Source organism: Homo sapiens, chromosome 4 (assembly GCF_000001405.40).
Source record: "Homo sapiens chromosome 4, GRCh38.p14 Primary Assembly".
NCBI classification, from domain to species: Eukaryota; Metazoa; Chordata; class Mammalia; order Primates; family Hominidae; genus Homo; species Homo sapiens.
This window is the reverse complement of record NC_000004.12, coordinates 48,241,052-48,261,798: the sequence shown is the minus strand read 5'-3', so window position 1 is coordinate 48,261,798 and position 20,747 is coordinate 48,241,052. Positions and strand designations below refer to the sequence as shown.

Here is a 20,747-nt window from a genome sequence, read left to right as displayed (position 1 = left end):
TTGTTTTTCAAGGTTAAAGCTTTTAACCTTGAAATGCTTACAATAGAGTATCAAAGCGACAGACTTTAACTTGTCATGTACTATATGAGATACTTACAAGGTGAAACTCCCTGTCAAGTATCCTACTCCTTTTATTTTTAATTTTGGTGACATTATAATGTGATTTAGTAGGAAAAACCTTTGATTTTTCTTCTCTTATCCTTCATGGAATTCCAATGATATCTTTTGTTACTATTTCCTTAGAAACTCTTAATGTCCTCACATACTCCTCAATATTATGTTTCAACCACGACTTGTGGGATTTCCATATGACTGCCCCAAAAATGAAACTGGCTTTTTTTCTTACAAGAGTGATTTAAAGTTTCATTTTTCTGCCAATATGATTTAAGCATGCAACAAAGTTAGTTTTTACTATTAGGGTTATTTTTGATTTGTAGAAGGCAGTTGATTTCTTCATTTTCCTGCTTGGGTGATAAAAATGCTTGATCCTTCAACCATGCAGGGAAACAGAAATACAATTTAACTGGGTTTGAATGCTGTCAGACATGTAAATTTAGGTATACATGCTTTTGAATTTTTTTAAGGATTGTCAGTGTCTTTGTCACATACTTAAACCAGTTATAGAAGCATTGCATGAAATAATTCTTGTTCATAAGTTCTGGAGTCCTAGCCAGAAGACATTTTTTAGGCTCAGAGCTGTTGACACACCATCTTGCTTCCCCCAGGCAAAAGTTTGATCTTTGGGTGCCACCGAGGTTCTCAGACACCTGGTGTGCTCCTTGGACTCTCCTTGCCATCAGTAAAAAAAAATTGTCATTTTGTAGAGTTTTATATATTCCTTGTTAGAAGATGTAAACAATACTGAAGCTTACAAAGAAGAAATTAAAAATAACCCTAAAACCATTCCAGAGAGAATCTTTGTGAATCCCCTTCCAGTCATCTCTATTACCAGCTGACTTTTAATAAATCTTTAGCAATGTTCTAGAAAATAATTAAGGAGCATTATGTTACAACTGTTTATGTAACTCCAAATTCTACAATCTTTATTTATACACAGGTAGTTACTTTATGACGTTGTAATTAGTCCATGCATAATTTTCTTTGGGTAATTCTGTCATGTTAGCATACGGTGGTATTTTGAGCCACTCCCCAGTTGTTGGACACTTAGATTTTTTTTTTCTTTTTTTTTGTTTTAGAGACAGAGTCTTGCTCTGTTGCTTAGGCTGGAGCACAGTGGTGCCATCACCATAGATTACTGCAGCCTCGAACTCCTGGGCTTAAATAGAAGGTTTGAGCTTCAGCCTCTGGCTTCAGCCTCCTGAGTAGCTAGGATTGCAGATGCATATGACTGCATCCAGCTCATTGAAACGAAAATTAAGCAGCGATGAGGCCTTGCTATGTTGGCCAGGTTGGTCTTGAACTCCTGGCCTCAAGTGATTCTCCCACCTCGGCCTCCCAAAGTTCTAGGATTACAGGTGTGAGCCACCACACCTGACTGATTTCTAGCTTTTATTCATCAGTTTTAGAAGGTCATAAAATAACTCACTAGCAATGTGAAGTTTCCATTTTTTCTCTTTTTTGACCTTTTAGAATTACAGTGTCTCTGTTATGTGAGGACAAGAAGAGCCAGAATGCTTGAGGCCATGTTATGTACCCAGTTATAGGTCAGATAAAACTAGAAGAACCTGACAGGTCATTTGCAGAGACTGTGTTCTTGTTGGTAATGTGTAGAGCCTCATTTCATCTTATTGGATGTCTATAGGAAAACTTTCCAAGGATCAGTAACAAAACATGGAAGAGTTGTTATGTAACTGTGCAATGACATTTGACCTCAGTACCTGGTCTAGAGTTTATGAAACTTTGTGTGACCCGGGAAGGCATCTTATGTCCTCAGGAAACTCCAGCCTTCCTATCCATTGTGCCATTTCTCTACTGCTTGAGTAATCATGGCCCAGTAAGGTGTGCAAGGCAACCAGCAATGTTAGAGAATTTTGCATTAATGTAGTTTCTTGATAAAGAACTACAGCAGAGTGAGCTCCTGTTCAGATTTTTCTTTTGACATCTTTCTTTTTTTTTTTTTTTTGAGACAAAGTCTCACTTTGTCACCCTGGCTGGAGTACAGTGGCATGATCTCGACTCACTGCAATCTTCACCTCCTGGGTTTAGGAGATTCTCATGCCTCAGCCTCCTGAATAACTGGGACTATAGGCATGTGCCACCACGCCCGGCTATTTTTTGTATTTTTAGTAGAGGTGAGCTTTTGCCACGTTGGCCAGGCTGGTCTCGAACTCCTGACCTCAAGTGATCTGCCAGCTTCAGCCTCCCAAAGTGCTGGGATTACAGGCATGAGCCACTGCGCCCAGCCCCTTTGTCATCTTTCTAGATATCATGGTCTAATGTTTAAAGCCTTGGGTGGATTTCTTTTTTCTTTTATTTTAGGTTTGGGGGTACATGTGAAGGTTTGTTACGTAGGCAAACATGAGTCACAGGGGTTTTTATACATATTGTTTCATTACCTTGCATGGATTTCTAAGTTAACTATTAACTGGAATTATTTTCCTGTGCTTCAGGTTTTGCATCTATTCAACAAACTATAATGACACATAATTAACAGTTCACTTGAGAAAGATTCATGGCCTAATACTTGTAAAGGACTTTGAGCTTCTCTGAGAGTGTTTTATACACAGTCATGAACAAGGAGATGGCTTGTTCTATTTGGCAAAGGGCAAGTATATTATGCCCATTTTATAGATGAGAAAAGAGAGCCTCATAGAAGATAATGGCTTGCTTAGACTCACGGTAAATTTAATGTAGTGTCTGTGGAATTTTCCTTGGACTTTGTGGAATGAATGAAATCTAAAATAAATTCTACATGAGTGTATGTGTAGGGAAGTAGGGAAAGTGGATTTATACTGTTTTAAGCAAATATAACATTTCGGAGGAGAGTCTTTCCCTTTGAAAGAGGGTAACCATGTCAGACAAATTCGCTAGAGTTCTTAAAGAGAATTAAATAAATAATCAGGGAAGACAGGGATAAACAGATTTTCCAAGTGATTTTGAAAAGACGCCACACAAAGTCTGGTAAGTAAATTCAGTCAGCAATAAGTTGGGAAAAATATTTTTGAAAATCAGGACTCAGGAGAGGGCTACACGATGAACAAAGGTTAGGCATAGCTGGACATTTCTCAGAATGTGTATCAGAATACAGATATGGTTGAACTACTCTAGTTATTATTTTTAAAATAAATTACATACAAGAGGGAGTATACAGTCTACATGAACCCTTTGGGACATGAAAAAGCTAAACAGTTGATCTCAAGTCTATGCAAAATGGCAGAGAAATAAAGAATGCATTTAGGGCTGGGCTTAGTGGCTCTCTTGTTATCCCAGCACTTTGAGAGGCCAAGGTGGGCGGATCACTTGAGGTTGAGGAGTTTGAGACCAGCCTGGCCAACATGGTGAAACCTTGTCTCTACTAAAAATACAAAAATTAGCCAGGTGTGGTGGCGCATGCCTGTAATGCCAGCTACTCGGGAGGCTGAGGCAGGAGAATTGCTTGAACCTGGGAGGCAGAGGTTGCAGTGAGCCGAGATTGTGCCACTGCACTCCAGCTTGGGTGACAGAGTGAGATTCCTTCTCAAAAAAAAAAAAAACCAAAAAAACAATGCATTCAGATAAAATGAATCGATCTGTACATGTAGATGTACATTCCAATGCTTGTTTCAAGAAAGAGATTCAGATATTATAAAGTCTTAACTGAAAACATTCACTATATGACTTGGAACAAAAATTTCTAGTGTTAGCTGTTGGCACAAATAATTCATTAAATGCCAGTTTTACCCATTTTCATGTTGCTTCAGCATCTAAGATAATTTTTTCACTGCTCATTAATGTGTCTTAAAGACCTAATGGATTTAAAGAAAGCAAATATATTTATCAATGGTATAGAAGATTGAGGAAAATACTTCCATCCAAATTTTCAGTCTAGAAAGGTAAATGGGCATGTGGACAGGGTGCACCCTCTTGTACTGTGGCAAACTGACCTAAATAACACAAAGGAAATCATTCATTTGTACCTTCTTTATTCCCAAGTAATAAACATCCCAAATATCTATTGGGCATATATGATGTGCCAGGCTCCATGCTAAGCTCTTTACCTAGAGTATCAGGTTTAATCCTCCAGGCAGCCCTTTGAGGTGGGTAAGATTACTTTCAGCATTTTACAGATGAAGAGATTGAAGTTCAGGGAGGTTCTGTAACACTTGGTAAGTGGTAAGTGGTGGAGCTGGAGTCCAGAAGTCTGCTGAGCTCTACTCACTGAGGTATGCTCCTCTCCTCTCTTTGTCATATTTTCCCTCCTTGTAAACAGAGCTGGACAACCTAGAAAGAAATGTGAAGGTCTACTTCAAACAAAACCAAGCAGTTAGTTTCTCTGGATATCACCCCAAGCCCCTTAACTATATAGACCTTAAGATGTCTTCAAAGCAGCACTGTTGAACAGAAATATTCTGTAAGCCACATATGTAATTTAAAATTTTCTAGTAGTCACCTTAAAAAAGGAAAGTGCAACAGGTGAAATTAATTTTAATAATATATTTCATGTAAGCCATATATAAAAATATTATAATTTCATGTAATCATATAAAATTATTGAGATACTAGAAATAACTCAGGAGAAATACAGTACAGGACATCTTTTGTAATGCAGCAGATAGAGTGAAATGTAGTTCTACCAAACAACAAAGTTGTGATTAATGGAAAAAAAATTATTTACTGCTTAAGTTTTACATTTTAAATTCATATTTATTAAAATAAAAAATGTGGTTCGCCATTCGCACTGGCTTCATTTCAAGTGCTCATTAGCTATTGGTGGCAAGTGGCTGTCATATTGAACAGCGCAGCTCTATAGCAAAAGGTATTCTTTGTCTCCTAAGGACCGGGGACTCCTAGACACTCTATCCCCATCCCTGACTCCTGACTCCTCTCAGCATCCATCTTATTTTCCCTGCCTATGCCCAGAACTGCTATATATAATGTGCAGGTTATACACTACAAAATTCTGAGATGTCATTTATATTGTAGACCCAGTGGATTTGCTTATTTACTGCAACAGGTTTTAGGAAGATAGAAGTAAAGTTTTTAAAAGAAGAGACACTTTTTCCTAATTTATGCAAAAAGACTTTTTTTTTTTTTTTTTTTTTTTTGAGACAAGGTCTCGCTCTGTTGCCCAGGCTGGAGTGCAGTGGCACAATATCAGCTCACTGCAGCCTCTCGACCTTCCAGGGTCAAGCGATCCTCCCTCCTCAGCCTCTCTAGTGGCTGGGACTACAGGCAGGCACCATCACTCCTGGCTAATTTTTTTTTTTTTTAAATTTTTTGTAGAGACAGGGTTTTGTCATGTTGCCCAAACTGGTCTCGAACTCCTAGGCTCAAGCGATCCAACTGCCTCAGCCTCCCAAAGTGCTGGGATAACAGATGTGAGCCACCGTGCCCGGCCACAGAGGCATTATTTTTAGCAGGGTGGGCGGTGGATTGTAGCCCTTCTGTCTCTTCCTCGCATTCTGGTAGTTGGTCCCATGGCATTGTTCTGTTGTATGCTCAGCACTACTCCAGTGCCCTGCCTGTGGCTGAAAGTGTAGAAGCAGCCTCAGTCAACCTCTCCTCCCCCAGAAATACTGTCACAGAGCCATAGTCATTCTTCATGGTAGTTTACCTTGGAGTCATATGTGTGTTATTCATAATTGTATTTCCAGTGCTTAGTGCACAATAGGTGCTCAGCATGTTTATTGATTTGAATTGTTATCTTAGCTTTGACTCTGTATTTGGGCCTCTGCATTGTGTCCTCAGTTGTCCTTAATGATACATGACCCAGGGCTGATTTATCCAAATGCTGACCTTGCCCTCTCTTTCATGGAGTCACAGATCACCCTTCATATGGTACCTTTGTTCTGATAATACTAATTGTCATTATTGTTATTTTGATAATAATAGCTGCCATTGATTGATCACTTACTTTGTGTCAAGCATTGTGCTTAGCAATTTATGTAAATTATTTCATTTAATCCTCCCACAATATCTATAGGAGGTAGGTACTATTTTACAATGAGGAACCTGAGTTACTGAGAAGTTACATTACTTACCTGAGGTCATACAGCTAGTAAATGTCAAAGCTGACCTTTAAAACCAGTTCTGTCTGACTTCAAAGCTCTCTCAAGTGCCCTTTTGGTTATCTGGGGCCTTCCTGACAAGTGACTGTGCTGTAGTGGACTGATTATTTGTCTGCCCAGACTTTCTTCCTTTGGGCAGCTACTCTGTCCAATTCATGTGGTTTGGGTGGAGTTGACACTACCCAGGGATGATCATGTGATTCAGCCTTGGCCAATCCGAGCAGTCCCTCCACTTGACCAAGGGATTGGCTCAGGGGTTAGCATGTGATCCAGTCTGGCTCAATGGGACTCTTCTGCTGGCATTTAGGAAAGGGGGAGCTCTTCCTCTGGGATTTAACCTGGAGCGATGTAACCTGGAGCTACTGGTGGTCATTTTTCCCTGCTCCATGGAGGAAGCCGCAATACAAGAGAATGGGACCGTGCAGTGAGAAGCAGCACTGCACGGTGGTGAGAGCACACTCAGCATTGTTTGAAGTGCAGGAGTCAGCTGTGCCAGGACTTCTCGATTATGTGAGCCAATGTGTTCCTTTTGTTGTTGTTTGCTTAAATCTAATTATGTGCATTTGAAAGAACCCTGCTTATACCGGGTTTTCAGAAGATGAGTATTTTTGTCTTGGATTCCCTATGCTATTGTCTGTCTGCCCTTGGTCATCCACTACTTTTTTGGCCTTCGTGCCTACTTGGTGCCTTGCAGGCCTCTCATCCCTGTAGACTCTGCACCATGTTCAGCTTGCTGTGTCCCTTTTAGGTCAGTAAGCCCTGCCCTAGTGAAAGGAGGTGCCACACCCAACACCTCCTCACCAACAGCCCCCGCCCCTCCATCCTGCCCTATGGCATAGCCCACAAATGGATCTGGGTGGGAAAAGGATTTTGCCATGAGTGGAACATTAGAGAAATCTGTTCTTCATAGACATCGGAAAAATTACTCGTCAACCTACTCTTTGGATGCTGATCAAAGACTATTGAATGCTAACCTCATTTGGTCTCTGACACCATCTGGGATCTCAGCCAGTGTAGGCGGAGGCCTTGCCTCTTATCCCCAGTTTTTTTGGCCACCAGCCTTTCTAATCAACTGTCTTTCTATGTACTCTCAAGCCTCCTATGATTTTGAACTTCCATTCTTCTGCTGGCTGCCTTCCCAAATCTTTCCAGTGGCCCTTTGAGAGCATTGTTCCACTGTGAATCAACTCTCCCACACCAGAGCCTCCTCACAGAGTAACAGCATTGCCTTCCCTGTAGCTCTCTCTGCTGTAGCCTACTCCTAGCTTCCCTTTGCCACTTCTAGGGCATCACTTTTCTGCCTTCCTGCAAAACCCCTTTGTCCTTTAGGGTTCAAGCCATTCATGCAGGTACCCTCCTGGTCTCTCCTTTTGCCACCAACCTCTTTGTCATTCTCCCTGATTGACTCACCTGGTTCATGGTCATCTCTCCCAGCTCTGCTATCTCTGCATTCATAGATACAACCAACTTTTTATGTTTGCGTTAGTTGTGCAGTTGTCTTGGGGTTAATGGGAGTCGTTAATTATGGCAGGAGTGGAAAATAAGGGAGACTTCATAAAAGAGATTACGTATGATCAGGACCTTGAAAAATGAATAGGATTTCAATAGGTGGATAAAGAGGGAGGAGCCTTCCAGAGAGAACAACTCGAGCAGATACATGGGGATATGAAAAGACCTGGTACATTTGCTTGCTTGAGTCCTGGAAAACAAGTGGTAGGAAAGGAAAAGGGAACTCAGATTAAATTGGACATGATTAGGCCAGGCTCGGTGGCTCACGCCTATAATACCAGCGCTTTGGGGGGGCCTAGGCAGGTGGATCACCTGAGGTCGGGAGTTCAAGATCAGCCTGGTCAACATGGTGAAATCCTGTCTCTACTAAAACTACAAAAGTTAGCTGGGCATGGTGGTGCATGCCTGTGGTCCCAGCTACTCGGGATGCTGAGGCAGGAGAATTGTTTGAACCTGGGAGGTGGAGGAGGTTGCAGTAAGCTGAGATTGTGTCACTGCACTCCAGCCTGGGCAACAGAGCGAGACTCTGTCTCAAAAAAAAAAAAAAAAAGAATTGGACATGATTACATTTATTTAGGATTGAGGAATGACCCTAAGGAGTATGCAGGTGGAAGAATGCAAGAGAAAGAACAAAAAGAAGAGGGGCAGGATGATCTTGTAAATGACAGGATGAAAACTTTATTGGAGTGATTGTAAAAGGTGAGAAGGAGTAATTAAAACAGTTAAAGAAAGCTCATAATAAGACTACGGGCTTTAGAGAGAAGAGATAATAGAAGAAGAGGTGGAAGGATTTTCAGGACAGAGTAGTTATGTGGAAGCAGGGAGAAGGGCAGAGGAATGAGACAGGACAGCTGCTGCTAGGATGCCAGGAGACGACAGCTACATACTAGGTATGAATCAAGTTACTTAGCCGTTTTACTGCCTGATGAATAAAAAGTAAGATAACTTACGTATTTCATGATAGTAAAAATGACTTACATTATGTAAGCCTCAGATGTTTCCCAATCTGTGTTTTATAGACTACAACTCTGGGAGATGTTAACGAGGTTCAGGGGAAATAGAGTAAGTTCTATGATCAAATGAAGTTGGGAAGCGCTGCATTCTATATGATTCACCTATTAAAGCCCCTGAGAAATGCATACAAGGAACCAATTTGATGTTGTTTAACCCAGCTTTTCCCAAATATACTTGTCCATTCATTCATTTGTTCATTCATTCAACAAGCATGCAGTAAATGTGTGCTATGGTAGTATGTTTTGAGTACTCTGCTGGCCACTGGTCCTAGAGTAGAATAAAGTCACCCAGTGTTCCTACATTTATGAGATTATGGTCTAATATAAGCACATGTTATCATCCCACAGCTCCTAGTGTTCTGAGGAACATGATTTGGGAAGCCTTCAGTTAAGGTATTTAATATTGCTTTTTGTGCTCTGGAATGGAATGACATGGAGTGATTGTCTGCCTATATCTCTGCCTTTATGTCTCTATCTTACATCAGTACCTCTGCCTCTTCACAGAATGTTTCTTAGACCTGCTGCCTTGGGCAGGGATAGAGCTGATGACAAGGAAACTTTCAGGTCTGGGAAGTTGGTGACTCACCCAAGATCACCCAGCTAGTTAGTTGCAGAACCAGGGACAGAACCCAGCTCTTCTGGCTCTAGGTTCTGGTTCTGTGCTCATTTCTTTCTTGGTAAGAAGGGACAACTTGAAATGCTTGAAAATTAAAAAAAAAATTAAGCAGACTCAACAGACTCAGTGAGATACTATGGCCTTTGCCAATTTAATCAACAATAGCAGGATTGACTTAAGGATCAGCAGCACCACCACCACTACCACTATCATCATCATCACTAATGCTGAGTAATTACTATAATCCATGTGCCATACTAAGCACTTTATGTATATTTGCTTATTTAATTCTTACAACTCTGTGAAGTCATAATTATTACCCTATTTTATAAATCAGGAAGCAAGCTCAGAGAGGTAATTGTCGGTGTTTATACAACTAATAAGGAGCAGAGCAAAGCTTCCATTTTAGGCTGTTTTCAGAGTCCAGGCTGTGAACTGCGTTCTGTTATCTAGTGAAATGTTTTTTCTGCTTTAGTATTTTCCTCTCAGAATCAGTTGGTCTTTTCTCTCTTCCATTTTAGCTTGCCTTGCTTCTTCGTCTTTGTAAAAACCAGATCTTAGGATCTGATTTGTTTATTCTATGTCAGGTAGCATTCATCCAATATTTGCTTCTACTATTTCTTCTCTGTAAAACCCATAGTCTTATTATGAGCTTTCTGAAACCATTTTAATTACTCCTCCTCCCCTTTTGCAGTCACCCCAATAAAGTTTTGATCTTGTCATTTACAATATCATCCCACCCCTCTTCTTTTTATAATAAAGGCTGTTATTTCTCTTACATTCTTCCACTTGCATACTCCTTAGAGTCCTCCCTCAATCCTAAGTAAATACAATCATGTCCAATTCAATCTGAGTATTTAATGAATAATATGTGAAGGAACTGCTTTAGGAGCTGAGGACCCAGTGGTGAATGCACAGAACAGGTTCCTTTCCTGTGAAACTTACAACCAGTGGGGAGAGTGCACAAGAAAAACAACACATAATCAAGAAAAGTGTCACACAGAGATAAGTACCATGGAAAGAATTAAAACAGGATAACATAGTGAGAATAACTGGCTGTCTACTTTAGACTGGGTAGTCAAAGGAAGGTCTTTTTTTGTGGAAGTGAATTTAAACTAAAATTTGAGTTATAAGAAGAAAACTGCAAGAGAGAAATGGGTGGGGAGGAGGGAGAAAGAAAATGGAGCACTCTTCCAGGTAGAGAGAACATTATGTGCCAAGACCCCAGCCATGAGTTTGCAGTGTTTGAAGAATAGGAAGAAGGCTGGTGTGGTTGAATCATAGTGGGCCATTGGGGAGTGGTACTAGATGCGGTTAGAGAAGTAGGTCATATACTAGGTTAAGGAGTATGGGTTTTAGTTTAAGTGCATTGGGTAGGCGTTGGAGGATTTTAGCAGGGCTGATGACATAGACTGATTTATGTTTTTTAATGAATGTATTTACTGATGCATGGAAAAATGATTATAAGGAGATAAGAAGGAAGTACTGAGACCCATTAGGAGGATATTCCAGTAGTCCTGATGCGGGATAATGATGGCTCTATTAGTTATTGCCACAGTAATCCTGTGTAACAAACAGTCCCATAAATTCAGCAGCATACAACAATTAGGATTTATTTTTGCTCATGAGTATAGGATGTCTGGGTAATTCTGCTGATCTTGGCTGGGCTTGGTTGATCTTAACTGGGCTTGCCCATGTGTCTGTGGTCCACTGTGGGTTAGGTAGGCAGCTCTGCAATATTGCCTGGGTTCTCTGATATGTTTGAGGGGCCAGCTGGCTGTCAACTAGTATAGGGATGGTCTCAGCTGAGATGTTTGGATCAACTCTGCTCTCCTCCATATGTACATTACATCCCTCTAGTAGGCTAGTTTGGGCTTACCCTCAGGCTGGACAGTTGGATTCTCACGGTGATCGCAAAGAAGCAAGAGAGGAAGTAGAAACAAACGCACACGTTTTAAGGACTCAGCTTGTGTCAAGTTTGCTACTGTCCCATTGGTCAAAGTAAGTTACATAGGTATATCCATAGTCAGTGTGGGAGGGCATTGCCAAAGAACAGGAATTCAGACAGGTGTGAAAAGATACAAGGAGATATGAAAAATTGGGGCCATTATTCCAATCAATCTATTGCACTCATGGGAGAGTAGTGAAGAATGAGAATCTTGAATAGGTTCAGGAAATATTTAGGGGTACAGTCCAAAGAACATGCTGATGAATTAGATTTGAGTATGAGAGAAAAGAATGAATCAGAGCTAATGCCTAGATACTTGGCTGAGCAGCTGGGGAGATTATGAGGCCATTTACTTGGATACTGGATGAAGAGCAAAATTTAGGGGACTATCTAGAGCTCTGTGTTAAGTGGTGTTGTGTTTGAGATACCTGCTAGATATTTAAATAAAGATGTTAGGGTTGCAGTTGGATACAGCAATCTGAGGTTCTGGAGAATGTCAAAGCTAAAGATGTAGATTTTGGAGTTATCAGCCTATAGATGGCTCAGCTGGAATTCCAGGATGCATGCCTTGGCTGGGATCTACTGAAATCCATCAGCCAGTCACCCTGAAGTCTTCTAGTCTATGCGTAACTGATAAGACTCACATTGTGCTTTGAATGTGCTTTTCTATTTCACTAGTTTAAAATATTAGTGTCTACTTGTATAATTTGTGCTGTGAACTGAAAACTACAGTTTTCCCACTCTGCCATGTACAGCCTTCTGATTTGGCAGAAATAATACTGAAAGGACACCTGCCAGGGTCTTAGTAATTCTTAGTTATAGTAATCTGAGACATTTCAGCTCAGGGTTAGCAGAAAGATCATGAAGTCAAGAAGCAGGGCTTAAATCAGATGAAGTTGGAATCTCCAAAGGTAATTACTTCCTTTGTGAAGCCATAGGTCTTTGGGACTGTTTCCTGTTACCTTGGGCCATTCAGCCAAGTACACCATAAAATACTTGGCCTATCAGGAAGGCACATACTAGCATTTAAAAAATTTTACAAACGTGCTGTTTAAATTATATTACACAATATTACCATGAACATAAGATTTACATTTCTGTCACATACTGGAGAGTGTATCTTAAACTGAATTTCACTCAAGTTTTGCCAAAAGTGGTCTTGAGATAATATTTAACAGATACAGACCAAGGATCATATTCCTGATTTACCTATTTCTGTACTTTATTCCTATTTCTTGAATTAACCAGATAGCAACCTATTTAGCTCAGCCCAGGTAGGAATGCCTTTACTAAGGCTTTATTTACTAAGCCATTATGAAATGTTAATATAAGAAGTAGCCTGTTGAGGAGCACTTTTGTGATTTCTGCCCAAACTGCTGTTGAAGACATTTTGTAATATCTTTCATTATCTTTTATGATCCCATAAACTGGTTTCTCTTTGGAGTTTAGTGACAGGGAAAATTTTTCTTTTGATAAGCTGGTGTGTAATTTATCATAAACATTATTATTCTATGAAGCATTCAAAAAATTCTTTAATCTCTGATATTTTGAGAAGCTCCAAACTTGACACACGATTACACAAAATGTTTCAGATTTCTGGTTTTCAGTGTGTAGTAGAATTGAAGCATATATGAATTAGGGGAATTCAACTCTGTGGGCCAGCCAAAAAAAAAAAAAAAGAAAGAGGAGACAAAGAGAGAGAAACAACAATGTAAAGAGTGCAGATGAACCTATTCATCTTTCCACCTGATGAGTATACACCCCAGAAGGGGTGTGTACTGGAGGCGTGTGAACCTGGTGCTCTCTTTGTCTGCCTGAGTCTGCAGAGGATATCCATGAGCATCTCACAGTGCTCAATGTGATTTGTGGTTAAAGATACATACCTTGTTATACAAACTGACCCCTAGGCCCATGCCAGATACTTTAGTCCCAAACCAGAAAACCTAAAATTGATTATTCTGTGGGCTGGATTGTTTGCAAAAAGGCCTGCATCATTCCCCTCCCAGTGTCTGCTCACCTTGAGTAGTCACCTCCCGTACTGACGCTGGGCTTGTGACTTGCTTTTGCCAGTGAAACAAGAGCAAATAAATGTAAAGCATTCAGAGACATGCAATGTGCTGTGTACTGGGTGCGTGCTCTCTCTTACTGCACTTAGGACCCTGAGGACTGTAGGAGCAAGCCCAAGTTGTCCTGTTCAAGAAGCCACGTGTGCCCTGGCTGATAGCTTATAATTGCCAGAAGCGTGAATGAGGCCACCCTAGATATCCAGGCCAGGAAAGCCCAACTGACCTGCAGAATCATGAGAAACAATATGTTTTTATTATTTGTACACCACTAATTATGGAGTGGGTTTTGTTTTTGTTCTAATCAAAAGCTAACTGATAGAACTTCCAGTGCTTCTGGACATTTCTGCTGATACTGTGTTGGACATATCCAGAGAGAGTGTATCAGTCTGCAGTGTGACCTGTGTCTCCTGTGGAAGACTCAAGGCTAATTGACTGTGTTCAGTTTTTACCCTATGTGCTGACTGAGAACCAACCCCTGCATAAGTCTGAGTTCCACTCTGTTTTCCACTTTCTGCCTTTTGGTTTCTGACTCCTCCTTTTAGTTTTAATTCTTGTCTGTATATTTACATGTTGTACATGTATTGTTTCTTAAATTACTTTTATTGAGAATAAATTCAATTAACATAAAATTTGCCATTTAAATCGTTTTACAGAGTAGTCTAGTGATTTTTACTATATTTATGATGCTATGCGTCATCGCCACTATCTAATTCCAGAAGATTACCATTATCTCAGAAAGAAACCCCACACCTCCATATCAGTAACCCACTTTCAGCCTGTGTGGATTTACCTACTCTAGACATTTAATGTAAAAGTAATCAGTACAACTTGTTGCCGTTTCTATCTGGCTTCTTTTATCCAACATAATGTTTTCAAGGTTCATTCAAGTTGTACCATGTATCAGTATTTCATTCCTTTTTAGGGTAGAATAATATCATATTTCATTGTATGAATATATAAATTTTGTTTATTCATTCATCAGTTGGCAGACATTGGGTTGTTTTCACTTTTTGGCTGTTGTGAGTAGTACTGCCATGAGCATTCACATACAAGTTTTTGTGTGAATGTGTTTTTAATTCTGTTGGGTATATACCTAGGAGTGGAAATGCTGAGTCATACGAAAATTCTATGTTTAACTTTTGAGGAACTGCCAAACTATTTTTCACAGTGCCTGTACCATTTTACATTTCCAGCAGCAATGTGTGAGGGTTCTGATTTCTCCACATTCTTGCTAATACTTGTTCAGTTTCTATTTTTTGGATTATATTCCTCCTAGTGTGTATGAAGTGGTATCTCGTCGTTTCAATTTGCATTTCCATAGTGACTAATGGTGTTGAAATTTTTTTATATGTTTGCTGACCATTCATATATGTTTTTGGAGAAATGTCTATTCAAATCCTTCACCCATTTTAACACTGGGTTGTCTTTTTCTTGTTTAACGGTAAGTGTTCTTTATATATTCTGGATACTAGACCATTATCAGATATATCATTTGCAAATATGTTTTTCATTCTGTGGGAACTTCTTGTAACCTTCTTCAATAATGTCACGCAAAAATTTTTAAGTTGATGAAGTCCTACTTACCTATTTTTCTTTTCTTGCTTATGCTTTTGATGTCATATTTAAGAAACCATTGCTTAATCTAAGGTCATGAAAATTTGTACCTATGTTTTCTTCTAAGAGTTCTACAATTTTAGTTCTTTAATTAAATCTTTGATCCATTTTGAGTTAATTTTTGTATATGGTGTGAGGTAGAGGTCCAAATTTATTTGTATCCAGTTATCCCTATACCATTGTTGAAAATATTTTTCTTTCCGCATTGGATGGTCTTGACATCTTGGTCAAAAATAATTGACCACAGTTGTGTGATTTTATTTCTGGACCCTTAATTCTGTATTGTTGATCTATATATCTATCCTTATGGAGTACTACACAGTTTTGATTGCTATGCCATTAGAGTAAATTTTAAAATTGGGAGTGTGAGTCCTCCAATTTTGTTCTTTTTTTTTTTTCAAGATAGTTTTGTCTATTAATTTTACTATATGGGTTTTAGAATCACCTTGTCCAGTTCTGCAGAAAAGGTTGTTGGGATTTTAATAGAGAATTCATTGAATCTGTAGATCCATTTGGGAAGCATTGCCATTTTAACAATATCATGTCTTTCATCCACGAATGTGGGATGTCTTTCCATTTATTTAAGTCTTTTTAAATTTATTTCTACAATGTTTTGTAGTTTGCCGTGCAAAAATCTCATTCTTCCTTGGTTAAATTTTGTTCCTGCATTTTTTTTTATTGAAACATGTCTCAATTTCTCTCTGTAGGTAGACAAGATAAAAATGATAAATCCGTAAAAATAATTTTTCTTGTTTTGAGATGGAGTATCACTCTTGTTACGCAGGCTGGAGTGCAGTGGCGTGATCTCGGCTCACTGCACTCTCTACCTCCCATGTTCAAGTGATTCTTGTGCCACAGCCTCCCGAGTAGCTGGGATTACAGGTGTGTGCCACCATGCCAGGATAATTTTGTATTTTTAATAGAGATGGGTTTCACCATGCTGGTCAGGCCGGTCTCAAACTCCTGATCTCAAGTGATCTACCCTCCTCTGCCTCCCAAAGTGCTGGGATTACAGGCATGAGCCACGGTGCTTGGCCCAAAGTAAATGTTTTTAATGTAGCTCTTCAGCTATTTTAATGTAGCCAGACTTTTTTCCTAGAAGTCGGGGAATGAGGATACTAGATTTCTAGTCTCAAAGGTGTTATTATTATGTTTATAATTTTGGCTATATTATCTTAGCTTTTATTTATTCATTTATAAAATTGTACCTGTCAAAGTGCCATCTACTCTGTCCATTTTAATGTTTTAGCGATTAATAGTAATAGTAATGCTATGAAGATTAAGTTAAAACAGTAATACTGATAGCAAGCACTTAAATGGCATCTATGTGCCAGGTAACTATTCTAAGTGTTTTCTGTGTATAAACTTACTTAATGAAATTAAATACTGGGTGGGGTGAAGCTTTAAAGGACTGTGTGATTTTTTTGTGTATGTGTGTTTGTGTGTGTATGTGTATGTGTGTATACACGTGTACGTGAAGTCTTTTTGGATGACATTTGGAAAACTCATAATTTTAATCTAGAGTTCTCAAACAATAGTTATAGTCAATGTTTAATTTTTTTTTTTTTTTCCTGGAGAAGGACTCTCGTTGTGTTGCCAGGCTGCAGTGCCGTGGCGCGATCTCGGCTCACTGCAACCTCCGACTCCCTGGTTAAAGCGATTCTCCTGCCTCAGCCTCCTGAGTAGCTGGGATTACAGACACGCACCACCACACCCAGCAAATTTTTGTATTTTTAGTAGAGATGGGGTTTCACCATGTTGGCCAGGATGGTCTGAATATCCTCACCTCGTGATACTCCCGCCTCGGCCTCCGGAAGTGCTGGGGTTACAGGCGTGAGCCACTGTGCTCGGCCTAATTTTTAAAGATTAAGATATTAATAACTGTATTAATGAACAAAGGGAGGGAGGTGATATCTCTCAACTCTGCCTGTTTGGGCTTTAATTATTTCACCTCTCAATTGAGAAGTTTGAATCCAATGATCTCTAATCTTAGAGTGCCTAGCTCTCATAGTCAGCTGTCTAATGGCTTAGATATGATATCTCTCTGTCCTGTGTGTGGTATTTGAGAAGAAGGATGTTGCAGGGGAAGGCTCTTTGAGGAATTAGATCAAAACTCCACAGAAGTGTGAGCTTGGGGAAGGCAGAGCTTGTGTTTTCCATGTGGAATGTTATATCCCTGTCACAGTACCTGATATACAGTAGAGTTTAAATAAAATGTTTTGTTGAAAAATGAGTGAAGAAATAAACATAAGACTGGAAAGAAGTCATTTTGGGTTTGATATGATTTGGCTGTGTTGCCACCCAAATTTCATCTTGAATTCCCACGTGTTGTGGGAGGGACCCAGTGGGAAGTAATTGAATCATGGGGCAGGTCTTTCCGATGCTGTTCTTGTGATAGTGAATAAGTCTACAAGATCTGATGATTATAAAAGGGGAGTTTCCCTGCACAAGTGCTCCTCTCTTTGCCTGCCGCCATCCACGTTAAGATGTGACTTGCTCCTCCTTGCCTTCCACCATGATTGTGAGGCTTCCCCAGCCACGTGGAACTGTAAGTCCAATTAAACCTCTTTCCTTTGTAAATTGCCCAGTCTCGAGTATGTCTTTATCAGCAGTGTGAAAATGGAGTAATACAGGGTTTTAGTTTCTTTTAAATAGTAGAAACGTGTATATGTGGATTGAGTGTGGGGAGAGGAAGGAGTATTAAAATGGATATATTTAAATTAATATAAGCTGTTTCTTACTTTTTGTATTTCTTCATACTCATCTTGTATTTCACAACACTGAGCCCTTGGCCTGGGATGTGCCTTTGCCTTGCCATCTACCAACTTACTCAGCTTTTTAGCCCAGCCCAGGCATCACCTTTGCTGGTTATCTCTCTACCTCTTTTTTTTTTTTTTTAATTATACTTTAAGTTCTAGGGTACATGTGCACAACATGCAGGTTTGTTACATAGGTATACATGTGTCATGTTGGTTTGCTGCACCCATCAACTTGTCATTTACATTAGTTGTTTCTCCTAATTCTATTCCCCCACCAGATCCCCAACCCCCAACAGGCCCCAGTGTGCGTTGTTCCCCGCCCTGTGTCCAACTGTTCTCATTGTTCAATTCCCACCTAAGAGTGATCTCTCCACCTCTTATCTCCAGGCAGAGTTGAAGCTTGTAACCATCTGTGGTCTAGCACTGATCACATGGTAATGAAATTGTTAGCTTCTGTTGTGTCTGTCCCTTTTACTAGGGTATGAGTATCTTAATGGCCATGTTTTATGTTTTATTTTGATAACATATCTGGCATTTAGCAGGTGTTCAGTTAGCAGTTGTTGAGTGTGTAAATGTGAACCAATACAGAATAAAGATGAGGCAATGACCAACTGACCAATTGCTTTCCTGAGTGTTTGCTGCGTGTAAGGAATTTTATGTGCATTTCTCTTACTTCTCAGGACAATCCTTTAGAGTTGGTATCATCATCATCCTCATTTTACAGATAAGAAAGCAGTCTCTAAGGAATTAAGTAACTTGTGTAAAGTTATGCAGCAAATAAATGGCAAAGCTAAGATTTACAGCCAGGTTAAGCAGACTTACCTGTTTAAGTTACTTCCACTAAAATCAGGGTTCTTGGCCAGAATTTCCAGTAAAAATAATGAGTGAAATAAGATACTGGACATCAGGTGACATCAGGAAAAAAAAGATCTTCGGGATGATGTTTAAAGAACCATTGCTTATGTCTTCTCCAGCAGTCTCAGGAAATAGATTAAAAATTGGGTCTTTTAATATATCAAAAGGTACAGGCCTGCCCTCTCAGTGGTTGAATTTTCTGTTTAACACAGTAGTAAAATGAGGAACAAGTGGGTTTCTAGATCAAGCTACATAGAATAATTACATTTGGGGGCTAAAGACAACATTAGAGCTCATCAGCCTCAGCCCCATTAATCTTACAGATATCACAAGACCCACAGAGTTTGTAAGTTTGGTCCTCAGTTGCTTTGTCAGTTAAGGGCAGAGAGTGTTCCTTTACATCATGAGGCTCACTTTATATATTAATAGAAAATTTAGAATAATGGTAGATAAAAACTTGTCATATTAAAGAGACAAGAGCATGAGAGCTTGGTTGAAATACCATCACTTCACACATTGGAGATAGTATCTCTGAGCTTCTGGTCCCCCTCAGAAAAAAAGAACTTCCTGCATAGGACAGAATTCATCATCAGGGGCATCTCTGAGAAAAAAGGATCCTGTAAGTTGTTTGTTAACTTATGATTCCAAGACTTTGCTAATTTAAGATGCAAATGAATATACAATGGTCCCTCCTTATCTGTGTGGCTTTTGAAATAAGAGTTTTCTTTCAGATTTGCCCACTGATAGTAGGAGGAACTACACATGGTGAAAGATCTGAAGTAGACGCTTCTGTTACCTTTGAGATTTGGCTTCTGAAGTAAATACCAGCAAGCTAGATAAAGTGAAATCATTGTCATCCGATAAATACTTACCGAATACCCAATATATTTCAGGCAGTGTTCTGGGTGCTAGATCAGGCCAAATATTATATTTTATTTTGTGTGGCTTGTGTAAGACAGAATACTCAGAGGGAAAAGAAGACTTGGAAATATGCTTTTGAGAAATTGATATGTAATGGAATTGAGATTTATGTATACGTGTAACATGTACACAAACATTAATTTATTTTGTTGTGGGTCCATATTGCTTATATAAGTAAATTTGATTTTCAGAATTTCACACAGCACTGGAAGAAATTGGACATTGACTTATTTTACCAATGTAGCCAGACACTGCACATTACCACTTTTAAAGTCCTTAATAGATTGTAATGTCATGCGTTGTTTTTAAGGTACTCTTTTCACATTCTTCTCTAGAACAAAGATCATTTCTTGTTCATCTTTGTTAACCACCTTAGTGCCTCATGCATGGTTCCTAATACATCATGACTGTGCAATAAATGTCAGAATAAATAATCATGAATGTCTCAAATTATTTCTGTGGACAAATTAGCTCATGAACTGAAAATGGTAAAAAGATGGTTGAGTGAAGAAGAGGAAACATTTGAGGGAAGGAAGAAAATTGACGAGGATAAGAGATGAATGAAACAAGAATGAGGTGGTCAAGAATGCTATCATATATTATATGTCCTGGTAAACTTCTGCTGTGTTAGAAACCATCCAAGACTTAAAGGGATACAACCATTTTATCACCCTCATGAATTCTGGAGGTTAAGAATTAGTGCACAGTGGGGATGTCAAGGCTCTTATCTTGGAAAACTTTAATGGCTGGGGGTGACTTGAACCACAAAGGGCTGGAATCATTTGAAGGTCTCTCACTCATGTGTCTGGCTTCTAGGCTGAGATGATTTGAAGGCTGGGCTCAGCAGTAATTCTGCAATAGAACTGTATGTGATTTCTCTCCTTGCAGTGAGCTTTTCTCAGTATGGTGGCTGGGTTCCAAGAGGGAGAATATTCAAAGAGCTAGACGTCCAAAAAAATCAAGCAGGGCTACTTGGGCTTTTATGTCCTAGTCTCAAGACATTTCTACTATACTGTATTAGTCAAAGGAGTCATAAGCCTACTCCAATTCAAGGGGAGGTGACATAGACCCATGAGAAGAGTGTCAGTGAATTTACAGGTATTTAAAAAAAAAAACAGAAACAGCAGCACTACATATTATAAGTGGACCAGATAATGACAATGATGAATAGAGCAAAGAACAGGAAAGTTCATTATCAATTTACTTCCTCAGAGATGGGACATATGACAATGTCATTAGACACTTTCCAAACAGTAGTTAGATTATGACATACATCCAT

At 39.4% G+C, this 20,747-nt stretch overlaps 1 protein-coding gene across 5 annotated transcripts in view; it reads left to right on the top strand.

Annotated features, from left to right (window-relative positions):
• The window catches only part of TEC (tec protein tyrosine kinase), a 134,056-nt gene that overhangs the window by 8,040 nt on the left and 105,269 nt on the right, over positions 1-20,747 (top strand). Inside the window, exon 1 of one of the 5 annotated variants that reach the window (XM_047416108.1) lies at positions 5,978-6,677. The exons of 1 other annotated variant lie outside the window; for it this stretch is intronic. In XM_047416108.1, the coding sequence (XP_047272064.1) occupies positions 6,450-6,677 (228 nt within the window). In that variant the 5' untranslated portion in view covers positions 5,978-6,449. Of the gene's footprint in view, positions 1-5,977; positions 6,678-20,747 lie in introns of those variants that run through there. 3 more of the 5 variants (XM_047416107.1, XM_011513741.2, XM_047416106.1) reach the window with 3 other exon arrangements.